Source organism: Homo sapiens, chromosome 10, assembly GCF_000001405.40.
Source record: "Homo sapiens chromosome 10, GRCh38.p14 Primary Assembly".
Classification (NCBI taxonomy): domain Eukaryota; kingdom Metazoa; phylum Chordata; class Mammalia; order Primates; family Hominidae; genus Homo; species Homo sapiens.
Window position 1 is genome coordinate 115,784,245 of NC_000010.11, and position 17,912 is coordinate 115,802,156.

General features: G+C 38.3%; 1 protein-coding gene across 8 annotated transcripts in view, besides 1 other annotated feature; it reads left to right on the forward strand.

Moving 5' to 3' along the window:
- ATRNL1 (attractin like 1) overlaps positions 1-17,912 on the forward strand; it is an 855,635-nt gene that overhangs the window by 690,880 nt on the left and 146,843 nt on the right. The window lies entirely within an intron of this gene.
- Positions 17,079-17,580: an enhancer, noted in NCBI's record as "NANOG hESC enhancer chr10:117560834-117561335 (GRCh37/hg19 assembly coordinates)". NCBI's record gives its function as "activates a minimal SCP1, AML or CMV promoter by ChIP-STARR-seq in primed H9 embryonic stem cells {active_cell/tissue: H9 hESC(primed)}" and the evidence as "EXISTENCE:reporter gene assay evidence [ECO:0000049][PMID:30033119]".

The following is a 17,912-nucleotide window of genomic DNA, read 5'->3' on the forward strand; positions in this document are numbered from 1 at the left end:
TATGCCAGACATAGTCCTAGATGCTGTGGATACATAGGAAAAGACGTGAGTCTTGCCTTCAAATCCATAAACGATTGTGGGGGTAATCACATATTAAGACATAATGTCAATAAAACATGATAATTCCCATGATATAGGTATGCCCAAGGTTCATGGAGTAGTAGTAGAATCCGAAAAGATTTTCACAGGAGCTGGTCCTAAACCGAGGGTTGACAAATGAGTTAGATGTGTGTCAGTTGCAAGGCAGATTCTGTATTAGTTTTCTAGAACTGCCGTAACAGATTGTCATAAACTTGGTGACTTTAAACAATAAAAATGTATTCTCTCTCAGTCCTGGAAGCCAAAATCAAGATGTCAACAGGGTTGGTTTCTTTTGGAGGCTCTGAGGGAGAAACCATCCCATGCCTCTCTCTTAGCTGTTGGTGGTTGCTGGGCATCCTTGGTGTTCCCTAGCTTATAGTTACATCACTGCAGTTTCTGCCTCAGTCCTCACATGACCTTCTTCCCTGTATGTTTTCACATGGCCTTCTTATAAAGATAGCAGTCATTGGGTTAGACCCACCCTAATCCAATACGACCTCATTTTAACTAATTATATTTGTAAAGGACCTCTTTCCAAGTAAGGTCACATTTTGGGTGGACATGAATTTTGGAGGGACACTATTCAACCCAGTACAGGGACTCTCTGGTTCCCCCAAATTAAGTTCTATTTCATGTGCAAAATACATTTGCCCCATTTCAACATCCTCCGAAGTCTCTTAACCCATTCCAGCATTAAATCTAAATCCAAATTCTCATCTAAAAATTCAAAAAGTCCCAAATCTCATCATCTAAACCAGGTATAGGTAAGACTGTGAGTATGATCTATCCTGGGGCAAAACCCCTCTCCATCGGTGGATATGTGAAACTAGTAAACAAATTATCTGCTTTCAAAATACAATGATGACAGAGGCATAGGTTTAGACATTCTCATTCCAAAAGGGAGCAAATGAAAGGAATAAAGGGATCACTGGTTCCAAGCAAATCTGAAATCAAGCAGAGAAAGTTCCATTAGGTTTCAAGGCTTGGGAATAATCCTCTCATGATATTCTATCTTGTGGGCCTTTGTTGGGGCATCCCCACCCTCTATGGCCTCTTCATCCGTGGCTCCACCCTTAGAGTCATTCCTCCTCCATTTTCTCTCATCTGTGTCCCTTTCAGTCCAAGCCTAGCAGTGCTTGTTGGTATAAAATTCTCAAAAACTGTGTTGATTGCTCATGCAATTCATGGGAGTCTGTGCCATTATGCAAGAAGGCCCTCCACAGATCTTTTCTAGATAATCTCTTGTCTATTGCTGGCTTCTGCTGAGATTGGTTATTAGATCTGTTAACCACACACCTAATCTATTCAATGAAATGTCCAGCTACAACCTTTGTGTTCTCTCCAGAGCATGTTTTCTCATCTTTTGCTATCCAAATAGACTGAGAATTTCCCAAATCATAAAGTGCTGGTTTGTTTTTGCTTAACAGTTTTTGCCTCAATTTATCTCTTCCCTCTCGCATTTTACCATAAGCAGTAAGAAGAAAGCAGGCCACACTTCTCATACTTTGCTTTGAAATCTCCTTAGCTAAGTATCCAGATTCATCCTTTACATGTTTCACCTTCCACACAACACAATTGAGTTGAACACAACTCATTTCTTTATAACAAGCACTGACTTGCCTCCAGTTTCCGATAATATGTTCTTCATTTTCATATGAGACCTCATCAGAGGCACCGCTAATGTTCTTATTTCTAGAAACATTCTGTTCATGACAATTTATATATTCTTTAAGCTGATAGAAGCTTTCTCTACAGCTTCCCTCATTCCTTTTTGAACCCTCACCAAAATCACCTTTAACATTTATATTTCTACTAATATTCTTTTTAAGTCATCAAGGCTTTTCCTATCATATGCTTCATAATTCTAGCCTCCACCCATTACCCAATTCCAAATTCCAAAGCCATTTGCAGACTTTTTTTTTAGGTATTATTACCCCTTACTTGGTATCAAAATGTGTGTCAGTTTCCTAGGGCCACCATAACCAATTACCACAGACTAGGTGGCTTATACCAACAGAAGTGTATGGTTTCACAGTTCTGGAGGCCAGAAGTCTGAAATCAAGGTGTTGGCCATGCTTCCTTGGAAGGTTCTAGGAAGAATCATTGCCTCTTTCTACGTTCGGGTGGTTCCTGGCAAGCCTAGGATTCTTTGGCTTGTAATTGTATCACTCCCATCTCTGCCTTCGTCATCACATGCACTTCCTCTTCCTTCTTATGTGTCTTCATATGGCCTTCTTAGAAGGATACAAGTCATTGGATTTAAGGCTCATCCTAACACAATTGAACCTCATCTTAATTAATTATATCTGCAAAGACTCTATTTCCAAGTGAGGTCACATTCTGAGATTCTGGATGGACAAGAATTTTAAAGGGGACACTATTCAACCCAGTATGTGTTCTTACAGACCTCTAATTCTTCCTCATCTTCTCTTTTAGGTGACAAGACACTAATATTAAGTTGCTATGGTGATAGTTTATTTATTTGACCTACTATCTGCATTCTATTTCTTTTCAAAATGTGTTTCTTATATGTTAAACCTTTATTATGTCAGACTGTGGCAACACCTAGAGAAATCTAAACATTATGTTTTTGCCAAGATGAGGTCAGAAACAGTAAAACATTGTTTTTAAGTTATTGGATTAATATGTCTGCCTGCTACTAACTGTGGTTAAATAATAATCTTTGTTTTTATTCATAGTTAATTACATGCTCAAGTTGAAAATATCAAAGGTTCTTTATCTGATTCTGTGAATTGATATTTAATACATGGTCTGCCATGGTTACCTAGCCTGGGATTTGTTACTTTAACACATCAATCAATGGCAAAGTCAATGTGTAAGCTGCTAGTGATTTGGGAAGCATCTTTGTATTCAATAGTCTTGTACCTTGTTTGTGATTGAAGGTCATTCTTTAAGAAAAGAATGATATCTAAGACTGTAAATTCATTGTACTTTCTAAGCTCTTGAGAGTAGAGATTTGCAACATCAATATATAGCCAGGCTTTACCCATTCGGGCCACTAAGACTGATACTCATAGTTTTAATTATTTTCACTTGATGAAGCTAATTCCAGGAATACTATTCTTTACTTTCTTGGCTCTTAGAAGATATGTCTATTTTATCATTTGGAAACTTAGGAAACAATATCCTTTTGGTTTTTGTGCAGGCTTTTTTCTCATCATATACTTGCAATATTTTACTTATCTTACCTTCATAGTAATCCACATACTAGGGATATTATATTTAGAAGCTTCATGTCCCACTACTTATTAACTATACTGGAGTGTTATTTCTTGAGGTTTATTTTGAAAATATGATCCAAGCTCCTATTTCATGTGGGTTTGTTGTTGGCTAAAAAAAAATCCTCTTCAGCACCCCATTTCCCCCAAAAGATATCATGTCCTAATCTCTGGGACCTGTGAATGTTACCTTACTTGGTAAAAGGACCTTTGCACATGTGATTAGGTTAAAGACCTTGAGATGGGAGATTACACTGGATTATTGGGATAGACCCTCAATGCAATCACCAGTGTCCTTATGAGGAAGAGATAGGGGAAGATTTGAAAACAGACAGAAAAGAAAAAGGCAATATGATAGTAGATGCAGAGATTTGAGCCGTTTAAACACAAACTGATTTCTAATCCCTGGCCTCCACAATTGTGAGAAAATCCATTTCTGTTGTTTTAAGCCACCAAATTTGTGTAATCTGTTACAGCAGCCTCAGGAAAATAATACAGGTACGTAACATTTTCCCTTGGAAAATATGAGATACACCATACTCCTAACAAAAATGTAATTGGCTGCTGGATTTATATATAGTAGTTATGTTTCTCAGTAGTTCTATGCAGAAAATGCATCCTCTGAGTTGATACTGGGTTTCGAGTAACATTCCTCCACTTTGTCCTTAACTGAAATACTTAACCTGTCAAATTAATTCTGAACTTCCCCATAGAATAGATTTTTAAATTGGGAGACTATTTCAGTGATGTCTTTTATAAAGAGGCACATCTTTTCCTACCTAAATAGTGTATTTCAGATTTGCCCCCTCTGTAAACATTCATATTTCTTTATAAAGCCTCAACTTCTGTTCAGTTTTCATTTCACATTATAAATTACAGATTAAACCAAAGCTTCCCTCCTTTATGGGTGCAAAATTGATGGTATAAGTAACTGTTCTCTCAAATGGCTAATTATATTTCTAGTTGCCTACTTGAAGGTCTAATTAGCCAATTGCATATGCTTTTGTGGGGGCAAGGAGATAATTGGCATCCTCAAGCAGGTAATTAGAAAAGCAATTATTAGTGCCCACGGCTAATTACAAGAATGAAAATTGTCCCCACCAAAATGGTACCAGTGTCTACTGGGCAGAAAACCAGTCCCTGGAAAGTGACAGGAAACTTAATCCATTTGGCAGTGTTAGAATGGCAGGCAGTAAAACAAATCATCAACTAGACCTACATAATCTATAAGCAACCTCCTGTGAGAGGGCTGTCAGAAGCCTTTCTAACTGTGGCAAAGGGCTGCAGTTGGGGCAGTTGCCCTATTGCCAATAATAACCTGCACATGAACTTGTATCCCTGTCAGGAGCACTGTGATCTTCAAAGTTCTTTCATTCCTAGAAATAACGTATTATGAAATCCATTCTCGAGTGGCGATTTTTTATGATGTTGTGTTATCACACACGTTATAAAATAAAGGATTCTGTGGGGAAAGCCACTTGTGTTTAGTTGCTTTTCAACTGCATCTGACCAGTTCTTTAAGTAACAGAACTTCAGTTAAATGTTTCAGTGAATTCGTCTTTTGCAGAAAGCTTCCTGTGGTTAGCAGGTTTTGGTGTTGAAGTCCCTGCAGGTTTTATGCCCAATTAAGCCTCTGATTGGGCTCTTTGTTCTTTATTACCCAAGTATTTATCCCATGTAAATGAGAAAGGGTAGAAATAGGCAAATTTGTTTTATCTGACAGCAAGTCAACAATTTAGCTCTCAAGTAACAAGAAAATAAAACTTGTTGAGAAAGTTGGTACTGTATCTGAAAAATTTAAGTCTGCTGTCAAGAAAAATGAAAAAGCCTGAATCGCTGCATCTCCTGACACATTTCAAAATGGGGATACATAGCACAAATTATAGTGTGCTTGATGGTGCTGTTGATAATAGCACCCTGCGCTCCTCCCAGGGCACCGAGCACTACTGCTGAAAGGGCTCAACTGCGGGGGTTGTGCGCAGATAGTTGCCTGGGAGAGCTAAGGACTGTTAGGTCAGAGTTTCCAAGAATAGAGAAAATACGCCAGAAGAATTAATGATTTAACTGGGAAAATGCCTTTGTCATTTTTTCCTATTTTAAAATTTCTTTGCCCTACTCTGTATTTTCCCATCATTCCTCCTGCCTAGTCTTAGTCATTTACTTTAATCAGGACCCCCTGCTTCCTACGCCAGGGCAAAATGTCTAGAACTATGGGAAAATTTTGCCTCGAAGTAAAAGTCAAAACAAATGCAAATCTGCTATTAGAGTTGAGCAGTTTAAATGCTCCAGTACAATTGAGGATTAAATTCTGGAAAAGGGTATCCAACATAAATACACAACCAAGAGGTTATTTTTTTTAATTAGCCATGATTGAAGGATAGTGAAGAAGAAGATTAAAGGCATTAATTATAGAAGAGACAAAGAATAAGCAGACTTTTCTTAAAATGTAGTATAAAACAGTTTTGTTAGCCAGAGAATAAAGATATTTGTATTCCATTAAATATTCTATGCTTTTATTTTTTTCAGACACATTTTCTTGTACATTTGTGTATTTCATGTGTTTCCCAAATCAATTTTGAGATCATAGAATGCATGGTCTGTCATTGTCTCTCCAGAGCAGGACAATCTGACAAGTGGTCACCCAGCCTCTACCCAGTGGTGGCCCCCAAAGCAGCCTTGTTAGTTTAAAAAGAAAAAAAAAAAAAAACTCTTATTATTTGAAAGAGCCTTCTTTCCTTGAATTGACTTGCTTATTCTAACTTCCACCCACAGTTTCTGTTCCCCAGAACTGCCACAGGGAGGTTCTGACCCTGAATAAATGGCAACCTCTCAGATATCAAAAGGCTCACGTACTAAATCTTTCCTCCAAATCCCCAAGGCCTCTACGGCCTTTCTGTTACGATTGAATTTTAGCTGATTTAATATCTGTTCCTAAACAGTGACCAAACAATAATTCAGTTAAGCTTATATCCAACCAGAGGATCATTATGTAAATTTGAGTGAGGGTAGAGAGAGTGAAGGAAAATGAAATATTCTGCCTCATTTACCTTTAGAAACTTGTAACTTGACTTAAAAAAAAAAAAAAACTTTTAAACTGAATATATTGGTGTCAGAGAGATCTAGACCAGTATGTTTTTAAAAATTCCATGCCTAAGGTAATATTTCATCTGCTTTTCTAGCTTTATTCTCTTTTTTCTATCTTCTACTACTTTTTTAATAAGCTTAAAGTAGAAAGAATTAAAAGGCACCTATTTTCTTTACTCAGTTTCTTACACATACTTCAAGCTTCACATAGATGTTCGTTAGCATTAAAAATGTTCGGGGGTTTTTAAATGAACACATTTTCTCTTACTCTGCCATCTGCCAAACCAGTGCAGTTCCTATATGATTTATGTGAGATAACCCAGAAGAGTCAGAGACATAAATAAAAACTAAAAATCCATCAGTGGTAATTAGAATCTGTCTAATGACAATGGTGATGTTTGGAAGAATATATTATACATGTTCCTGTCTCAGGACTTTTTAATATCCTTCTCTTTTTTGCTGAAAATCTTTTCTCCCCCAGGTCCACATAGCTTACTTCCTTACCTGCTTCAAGTCTTTACTCAAATGTCACCTTTTCAGTGAGGCCTTGCAGAGCCAGACCCTATAAAATTGTGCTTCCCCCTTCCTCATGCCAACATACTTCTAACCACCAACATTTCCTGCCTTATTTTTCTCCATAACATCCATCATAATCTTACCTATGCTTTTTCTCATTATTATTTGTGAAATATATCATGTGTACAGGAGAGTGTACAAAATACATATGCACAGTTTAGAACAAACACCTGGGTAAGCAAACACCTGTCTAATCACCACCCAGGTTAAGAAATAAGAAGCTCCCTGGGTGTTCGGAAAGGTAACCACTGTTTCAACTTTTATGATAGTCATTCCCATATGTTTTCTTATTATTTTATCAATTATGTATATTTGTGAATAATAATACAGACTTTAGTCATTTATTCTAGTTAAAACAACAGACTAAGATATCTGGCACTCTTTGTATATAGATGAGTTCCTAGACCTATTCCAGAATACTCCAAAACTTATTCTCAGCCCAAGCAACTTGACTCTTCCTTCACCAGCTCTCTTAACTCTGTCTATTTCACCCCCAACCTTCCATCTCTTTCCAACCTTTCTTCCCTAGTTTGGCATACCACTACTAGATGTTTAGATTCTTCTCCAATTCTCTTAACAGGACAGTCTTCACTTTTGATATGAGTCAGAATCAACTGACCAAGGTAATCAAATTTTAATGAAAATAGGTAATTTCTTTCATTCCTGAAACAAATTTAAATAGTTATAGAGTTTCTGCTATTTGTTACCTATTCTAGTAACAGAAAACCTCATGCTTATCTGGACAGCCAAACTTTTTGTTCTCTGGTACAATCCTCAGAGTGACTTTGCTTTGCTTACAGTTATCCCATGTACAATTTCCATTTAGATTTATTCCAAAGATTTCAGCAAGCATACTGCTTCACAGATGATCTCACTTTGTTTTGATAATGTGCTCAATCATTTCATATACAATCAAAATGAGTAATCAGAGGTTATGCAAATGAAACTTTATCATCATTGGGACTGCTGCCTATTTGCAAGTATCCTTCATCCTCATCTAGTTGAAGTTAGCTATTATTCTATTCTACAGAATTTTCAGTGGAACAATGTCCACCTTTCTTTTGTACGCTACAGAGTCCAGAGAACTGTACTCATTTTCTTTTTATGTTGTTAGAACTAGATGTATCATTCAGCTATAATCTGAGTTCTACAATAGCTGTAATCACTGTGTCACTGGCCCCTGAAATGAATTCTTAGATTGGGCAATCACTACACTATCAACATATATTGGGTGTAGCATCTAAATCTTCTGTTGAGAATATTGCCGTTTTACTTATCTAAAACAGTATGCAGTAAGTGTAGCAGTATATATCTAAATTAACTTCTTTTGTAGCATTTTATCAGTGTTCTGCCTTTTCTCTACATTGGCTGCATTTTACCAGAAACAAAAGTTGTGGAGCAGTAAATTATCCATAGATAGTCTAGAAGCTCTTTTGATAAAGGATATTCAAAATGTTATATGAAAAAAATATAAGTTTTTCTTTAGTTTTTTCATTTATTAGCTTCAGCATTTTTCATTTATTTCTTCATTCAAAGAACAGGTTTTTAACTGATAGCTAAAATTATTATATCCTCTGCTCAATACGGTTAAGTTCAAATAGGCAAAAATATACACAGAACTCTACTTCTAAAAATATAACTGAAATATCTATTTTCAGTTTGAAAAAAAAATCATTCTTTCTAGAGGGTACCTAGCTTCAGTGGCAGACTGATCCAGTTCTTTGAGAGACATGTTATTGCCAGATATTTAGAATAAGTAGTATTTGGAAGAATACAAATATACAAATGATTTTTTCCATATAAGTAGTAAAACTTTAAGGAGATGCTTTAAAGAAGAGGCTTAAACATTTTTTCATCACTACCACAAAATAATAATTTCACCATTTTTAAGGGTTCGGCACTGAACTGATTATGAAAAGAAAGTCTTGTTGCAAGACTTCAATGAAAATAAAATATAGTATTTTTAATAATTGTATGGTTAGTCATTATCTGTGCCCTACTGATTTTTGGTCATAAGGTTATATTTGAAGAAATGTCTTCTTTTATATATTCAACTTCAACTCAATCATGTAATAAACTTATCTGGCATGTGAAGAATTTTATGTAGTCTCTCATCATAGAAAATGATGGTAGGTTGCCCATCTGGCAAAGGTTGTAAGTTCAGATATGCTGATGATTATTATCTGTGTTAAAGCAGCCTCAACACTTTCCAAAATATATTCATATAATAGTAGCTCATTATCTATATTAAACCACAATAAAGTTAATATTAATACCATGGATTTTATAAAATAACTTTGAACGAAGCTGAAAGCTTCATTTAGTTTAATAATAACGATGCTTGAGGACCACTTTGGTTTTAATAAAAACATGGAAAGTAGCAGATGAGAAAGAACCATAAAGATGCCAGTCGAATAGCTGTAATACCAATTAGTTGGCAATTGATTCATTCATCAAATATTTATTGACTACCCACTATATTTATGTACCATCACACCTTGGACCAATAGAAACTGAATTAAGTTTTAAAACTACGATGAATAAGGGTGCAAATGAGGAATGACTGATTGATAATCCCAATGAGTGTGGGATTTTTCTTTGTGGTGGGTGATGAAAATGTTCTATAATTACATGACAACAATGGTTGCACAATTCTGTGATTATACTAAAAATCAATGAACTATGTGCATCCACTCTAAACATGTTGATTTTATGGTATGTGAATTAAATCTCAGTACAGCTACTTAGAAAAACAAAGCTTTATTGATGGAAGACAACAATGTCATAATGATATTGATCATAAAGTTATTGGCTCTCAGCCAGTGTTGAACAAGTAGACAAGTGTGCATCAAACGGTTTATGAGACAATCCTAAAGAAGTCGGACTATTTGGATTTGGGATTAACATTTGCTCTACTTTGCATGCACAAGAAAACTCAGGCCTTGTGACACAGTATGCATGCCTGTTTTTAAACAATCACAAATTTACAAAAAAGTATTTACAAGTATATATAAAGAATTTTTTTCCTCATACCATTTCAGAGTAATTTGCCACCTGACACCCTTTTATCTCCTAATACTTTGATGTATATCTCCTAAAAAAGGAACATTTTCCACATAACCACAATGTAGCCATCAAAATGGAGAAATTAACACTGATGTACGACTACCACCTAATCCTGACTCCATTCAAGTTACAGCAATTTTTCCATTTACAGCAAAATTATAGCAAAAGAATCTAGTTTAGAATCATGCGTTGCATTTAGTTTCCTCAGTATACAACAGTTTCACAGTCTTTCCTTGACTTTCATGGGCTTGATAATTTTGAATAATTATTTTATAATGGATTTTAGAATGTCCCTCAATTTGGATTTGTTCAGTGTTTCCTCATGATTACATCCAGGTAATGTAATCTTTAGTGGTGATATTCACTTCAGCAAAAGTGATTCTATATTCTTTTCATTGCATCCTATTGGGATGTGCACAATGTCATCTTGTGCATTGCTGATGATGTTTGCTTTAATCATTTGCATAAGGTAGTGTTTTCTTCAATATAAAATTATTATTTTCCTTTGTACAATTAATAAGTTCTTTATGGGAAACACTATTAAACTATGTAAACCTCCCATTCCTTATCAAACTTTCAATTTAATATTTCCTTATTTATATGACACCTTCCTATTTTATTCACTGAATAATAATCTGTTACTATCATTATTTTGATGCTCAAATTGTCCCAGATCTGAGAGGCCCCTTTAAGATGGCTTCTGTGTCCTTTTGAAAAGTCTCTATATTCTTTGAGCATTTCTTTACTTTCTGGCACAAGATATTCCAGTCTCATCTTGTACTTTCTATGCCTCAGTGATTTCTCCAGAAAGTCCTGGTTTCTTTTAGTGGAAAATGGTATTTAGAAGCCACAATCTGACATTAGGTGTGCTCATTGCTATTGAGGTATTGCTGCTTCCAGGCCTCTCTGTAGACAGAGCTGGAAAACATAGCTATGTATATATACATTTACATGTATATTTATTTCTCTGTCTATATACTGAACACCATGAGTTTATATAAATGGCTAAAATTCTGATCCAGAATCCAAGGTTCATTTATCTGTTCCCATATTTATAACTCCTTTACCTAATTAGGTGATGAACCCGGTTTCCATTATCCTTAATGTATTGAGTCAAAAATAAAGCCTCCTTTTATGTGACCAGTCTCCTGGTCTCAGCTTTCCTCCCATCCCCAGTGCAGATTCCAGTCTCCCATGTATTAGTCCGTTCTCACACTGCTATAAAGACATACCTGAGACTGCGTAATTTATAAAGAAAAGAAGTTTAATTGGCTCATGGTTCTGTGTGCTATACAGGCTTCTGCTTCTGGGGAGACCTCAGGAAACTTACAATCATGGTGGAAGGCTAAGGGGAAGCAAGTGCATCATTACATGGCTGGCAGGAGAGGGAGAGAGACAGCAAAAGAGGAGGTGCTAAATGCTTTGAAACAACCAGATCTCTTGCAAACTCTATCATGAGACAGCACTAGAGGGATGGTGCGAAGTGCTAAACCACTGGAAACCACCCCCATGATCCAATCACCTCCCACCAGGCCCCACCTTCAACACTCGGGATCACAATTCAACGTGAGATTTGGGTGGGGACACAGAGCCAAACCATATCATCCCCCATTCAATCTCCAAAACCCATGCTGGGCTGGCTTCTGCCCCACACGGATCCCTCCTTATCCTGCTAATGCCCTTGTGCTGAGTGCCAGATCACTCCCACATCTAGCTTCCCTCCTCACTCTGCCTGGGCACCTGAACTCCAAATCCCTGTGCAGAGTTGTCCCCTGAATGCACACACATCTCACCTCACTCAGGCTTTGGATCCCCACATGGGCCACAACATGCTGCACTCTGCTGGCTCTCAGACACTTCATGCCAGGCTGCCTCTCTGTGGAGATGCCGTCATCACCCTGCTTGGGACAGCTTTAAAACAGGCAACTGCCATATGCGGTTGCCTTTTCCACCCCACTCATGTTCTGATGCCACGTCTGCCCTCCTTCACATGTACCTCCTCACCCCAATGGGGCTCTGATGCGTGTTCTGGCACACCATGGTTTCCCCTTCCCACCTAATCTGGACACCTACCTTGCTCTGCTGCCCCTAATGGCTTTAGGACTAAATTGTTGAAACAGGTAAGCAAAAGGAAGCAAAAGGGAAGGGGAAGGGGAAAAGCTCATGCAATATTTTAACTTAACACATCTTTCTCACCCACTGGACTGAAGTTCATGGCCGAAGGAACCACATTTTTTCCATCTTTTTATTCTCAGTTCTTAACAAAGTATCTGATTCATAGAGGTAGGTAGCAGTGCAATAAATGCTTGTTAAATTAACCTCATTCAAGTGGAAAGCTGAGAACTTAAGCAATTCCAGTCTTTGGCTCTTATCAGTGATCTCAGTCAAACCCTTTGAGCATTATTTTCGAAAGGAAAGTAAATCATAAGCAGTTTGGCCAGTTGTCCTCCAAAGAGGATCTTTCTGAAAAAATGTAACAAAATGAAGCCTTTTCATGGGGGCTAACCCTTCTATATACAATTTGCTAACAATATAAATTAAATCTATTGATTTATTTTGAAATCATAAACTTAAAAAGAGCAATGTTCATTAGATGTAGAGCTTTTATTCTTAATTAGTATCAAAAATCATTGATCAGAATTATGCCTTCTTTCTTCCATTTTCATAATATAGGCAAGTGAATTAGTTTCCATATAGTTTCAACCTTATAGCTCCTCCAAGAAATGTAATAAACAAAAAGATAATTAAATGATATTTGGACTGAAGCATTACATAGGAATAACAAACATAAAGGCTTTATTCTAAAATATAGGGACCTTGACTTTTAGTTCCTGTTAATGGCAGGAACAAGCTTTTATTTGTGTCTTTTCTGGGAAGTTTGTTCATTTATTCAAAATGTAGTTATTAGACAACTCAGGCCAGCAACATAATTTGTGGGGCCCAGTACAAAATGAAAATGCAGGGCCTCTTGTTCAAAAAGTAGGAAAAATAGGCCTTTAAAAGTCCTAAAATATGACACCTTTTCCTTTCTTCCGTGGTCTCTCTCCTGGCCTTTCGAATAGTGTTTTTTAATTTGCAATTTAATTTTACACTCAGGCACTGGGATACTCACCAAGCAGGTATCAACTTTTATAGGCACCTGAAGGCTCACCTGGGGCAGAAGGAAGGGCTGGGGTGCAGGCATCCACAGCCCACCAACTGCAAGGCTTCTTCTGCCAATTTTTGGACTGACACTGGGGATATTAGAATGAACAAAACAGACAAAAAGTCCCTGCATCATGGAATGTACATGTCAGCAGAAGACTCAGTTAAAAAAAAAATTGTATGTGTGCACGTGTGTGTAGTATCTGTTAGGTAGTGATAAACCCTTTGACAATCAATAAACAAAGCAGGAAAGTGGGGTTTGGAGTACTCAGTGTAGTGGATAGAAATGGGCTCCAATTTGAAGTAGGTTAGGAAAGCCTTCACTAAGAAGATGACATTCAAGCAAAGATCTGGGAGAAGTACAGGAGCCAGCCATAGGGCTATCTGGGCTGAGATGTTGCAGGCAGTGGCAGGAGCAAATGCAAATTCTTCTCAGTCAATGTTGCAAATACTTCAGTGAGACAGTCTAATTTTCTCAGAGACCTTTTTTTTTCTTTTTTTGAGACGGAGTCTCGCTCTGTTGCCCAGGCTGCAGTGCAGTGGCACGATCTCCGCTCACTGCAAGCTCTGCCTCCCGGGTTCACGCCATTCTCCTGCCTCAGCCTCCTGAGTAGCTGGGTCTACAGGCACCTGCCACCACGCCCGGCTAATTTTTTGTATTTTTCGTAGAGACGGGGTTTCACCGTGTTAGCCAGGATGGTCTCGATCTCCTGACCTTGTGATCCGCCCACCTCGGCCTCCCCAAGTGCTGGGATTACAGGCAGGAGCCACCGCGCCCAGCCTCTCAGAGACTTCTTTTTACTCCACACCCCACCTACCTTTCCCCACATCACTAATCTTGTTTCTGGAATTTGTTCCACCTTCTCTTTTCCAAATTTAGTTAGCCTAGGTGAGATTCCTGCTCTCTCACCTGTTACAGGAGGCTTCTAACTTCCTGCCTCAAAGCTCTCTGCTCCCCATACCACTGCCTGTTGCCCTCAGCACTGCTGGAGCTCAAGTCTCAAACATAACTGACTGTGTGTTCTTACTCAGAAGACCCATTGTGTGGCTTTCATGCACCATACCAAAATGCAGAAGTATGGGACCCTATGTTATGTTCAGAAATGCCATAAAATGATCTGCCCCATATGCTGACTAAACTGGTTTTGTCCTGTTACAGACCATCACCTGCTCATCTACACCTCCATGCCTTTGCTCATCCTGGAGGATATTTGTTCAGTCTCAGAACTTGAGGGCTAACTTTTCATTCCAATTTCAACTCCAATGGAGTTCTTCTTGAAATGTTTCTTGATCTCTCCAATTAGAATAAACTACTTACTTGGTTTCAGTTTTACTTAAATATCTCTCTGTCCACCAAGTAATGAGGTTGCTTTTTTTTTCTTTTTTTTCTTTTTTCTTTTTTTTTTTTTTGAGTCGGAGCCTCGCTCTGTTGACCAAGCTGGAGTGCAGTGGCGCGATCTCAGCTCACCACAACCTCCGCTTCCTGGGCTCAAGTGATTCTCCTGCCTCAGCCTCCCCAGTAGCTGGGACGACAGGCACGTGCCACCATGCCTGGCTAATTTTTTAATTTTTAGCAGAGATGGGATTTCACTATGTTGGCCGGGCTGGTCTTGAACTCCTGACCTCGTGTTCCGCCCACCTCAGCCTTCCAAAGTACTGGGATTACAGGCGTGAGACACCAGTAATAAGCTTTCTTTACGTCGGAGATCCTGTCTTATTTATCTTTACATTTATAATACCTGTCTCTTTGCTTTGCACACAATATGGACTTAATACATGCTTGTTGAATTTAACGTTATTAATGCAACTCATATTATTAATTGTAATGGTAGTAAATTCTACAATAACACACCTGGCAATAATGCAAATTAGAATAGCTTGAATTGAAACATGGAATGATTGGAAAGCAGCTTTTTCTCCTCTACCTGATTCCTTTTCTCAGGAAGGAGAAGGGAACATAGAGGCCTCTCCCTCATGGGGATGCTGGACAGGGAAAAATCAGACAATCCTATTTCAGGAAACAGAGAGGTGGGGGTTAGTTCCCAGTATTCTCCCAGCCCATTCTCTCTGGATCAGGCCAACAAAACATTCACCAATTAACGAAGAGATTCCTGGAATCACAGTTGCTCTCCCAGAAGTCCCAGCCAGGCCCCAGAATTCTGCCCATCAATTTTTATGTTAGAGCAGTCACCACTAGGTGGTGCCGAACTTCAGCCCAGGGTAGGTGAAATTTGCATCAAATAGACTCAGAACTTCCAGATGTCCAGTTGCACAGGCTCACCTTGGCCATTTAGCTAATCTCATAATAACACAACCCTACATTTTACACAGCTGAATTTCTGGGGCACTACTTATTGCATTATGGCAGTTTTGTTGTATCATTTTCTAAAAATCTTTCAATATCAGATACTCTGCCAGCCACTTTACAGGCTTTATCTCTAATGCTCACAGTAACCTGTATGGTAATGGGTACTGATACTTTTCTTCTTTTAGTAAAGAATCTGAGCTGGGCATGGTGGCTCGCACCTATAATCCCAGCACTTTGGGAGGCCGAGGCGGGTGGATCACCCGAGGTCAGGAGTTCAAGACCAGCCTGACCAACATGGAGAAACCCTGTCTCTACTAAAAATACAAAATTAGCTGGACGTGGTGGTGCGTGCCTGTAATCCCATCTACTCAGGAAGCTGAGGCAGGAGAATCGCTTGAACCCCACGAGATGGAGGTTGAAGTTGCCAAGATGGCTCCATTGCACTCCAGACTGGGCAACAAGAGCAAAACTCCATCTCAAAAAAAAAAAAAAGAAGAAGAATCTGATGCTAAGAAAAGAAATGTCTCTTGCCCAAGAGCTGTGCCTTGTACAGCTAAGTGACAGGTGACAGACCTAAGAATTACATTCAAGCCTGTCTCACTCTAATGCCATACTTGTCATATTTCTGCTATACTTCAATTTAATGATCAAAGAAAGGAAGGAAAGAGACAGTGGAGAAGAAAAGTAGGGAAAGAAACAGAAAGAGAAGGGGAGAAAGATATGTTTGACAGAAAAGTAAATGAAGTATGTTACCATCTGTTTTTTTCAACCCCAGAGGTCTGATTCCCCCGCAGGAAAGAGTTGCTTCTAGCCTGTCCTTTATCTCTGCACCTGCCCTGCTTATCTCCTGCACCAGAGGCTCCTACCATGACCATTAATGGACTGAGTTTTTGTGTCCCTACGAAATGCATAGCTTGAAGCCCTAACCCCCAATGTGATGGTATTAAGAAGTGGGGCTTCAGGAAGGTAATTAGGTTTAGATGAGGTCATGAGGGTGAGTTTTCTCTCTCTCTTTCTGTCATGTGAGGACACAGCAAGAAGGCAGCCATCTGCAAGCCAGGAGGAGAGTCATCACCAGAACCTAGCCACACAGGTTCCCTGATCTAGGACTTCCCAGCCTCCGGAACTACAAGAAATAAATGTCTGTTGGTTAAGCCACCCCAGTCTATGACACTGTGTTGTAGCAGTCAGAGCAGGTGAAAACTGTAACTTGTTATTCTCTAAGGAAAATACAGGTCTTCTTCTCAGGCCTGTCTTCAGAAACAGGTTCACATCCCCATCTTCCAGTCATTGAACTAAATGGAAAAGTTTTTGTCTTCCTAGTCATTGTCTGCACCTAAACACAGGCTTGCCCATCTGTAGTCCTAGTCTGTTCCTTTTCTTTGGTGAGGATAACCCTTCCTGTCTTGCTTTAACACCCTGTATTTTCCGTTCATTAGTGACTCAGACCTCTGATAATGGTATACTAGTTAACCCCCTGTCTCGTCTGACTTTAAATGATTGCCTGTTTTGACCTTGAGGAAATATGAGTCCACTAGGAACTACAATCTTTATGGCCACTTGAAAATCTTTATTCCACTTAAGGTGGAATAGGGTACCTTGCCACAGAGGAAACAAGTAAGGAGAGAAAGAGAGTAAAGATCAGTGAGAGGAAGAGAAAACTAAAACTACTAGTATAAAAAGTTCTGAAATTTCAGCAAATTATTTTGCTTCCAACTGTACTTAACCATTCTGCCCTTTATTTGCAATAAAAATATTGGGGTATTATTATCTTTGAAATGCAGATTATGTGGTTAACCATTGTTCACTTTCTAAACCCTGTAAGTATTTAACTTGTGGATGGGGAATATTGTTTGGGACTGTATTGGTTGCAAACCAAAATGATCTACACTCACACAGCTTAGTGTCAACATTAACATGACTTTACTTTTTAGCTGTCTTTGTTAACATGACTTTACTGTCCTACTGTCTTCATCAACATGATTTTACTATTCCAAGAAACTCTTGCCTTGGAAGATAAAAATAGCAAATGATTTTCTTGTCCCTTTCAGAAACTTTTTGAAAATTCATTTAAAGGAATATTAAATAATTCAACTTTCACAGTTAGCATCAGATGAATGTTTATGCTCCAAAATTCATTGTGAAACCTTCAGCTTGTGTGTCTTCCAAACTTAAATTATTATGTAGTGTCTTAACCAATGTTAAGACATTAGTGTCAGCATTACTGACACACAATCAAATGCTCCCCTATGGAAAAACTTGCCTTAAAAAAAAAAGAAACACACACACACACACACACACACAAAACAAAAAAAAACAGAATTTCTACCTTCCGCCCCCCACCACCACACACACACACCTAAATTCTCTTAAATATCCCGACTTTGCCTTCCTCCTCCCAGAGACTACTAAGG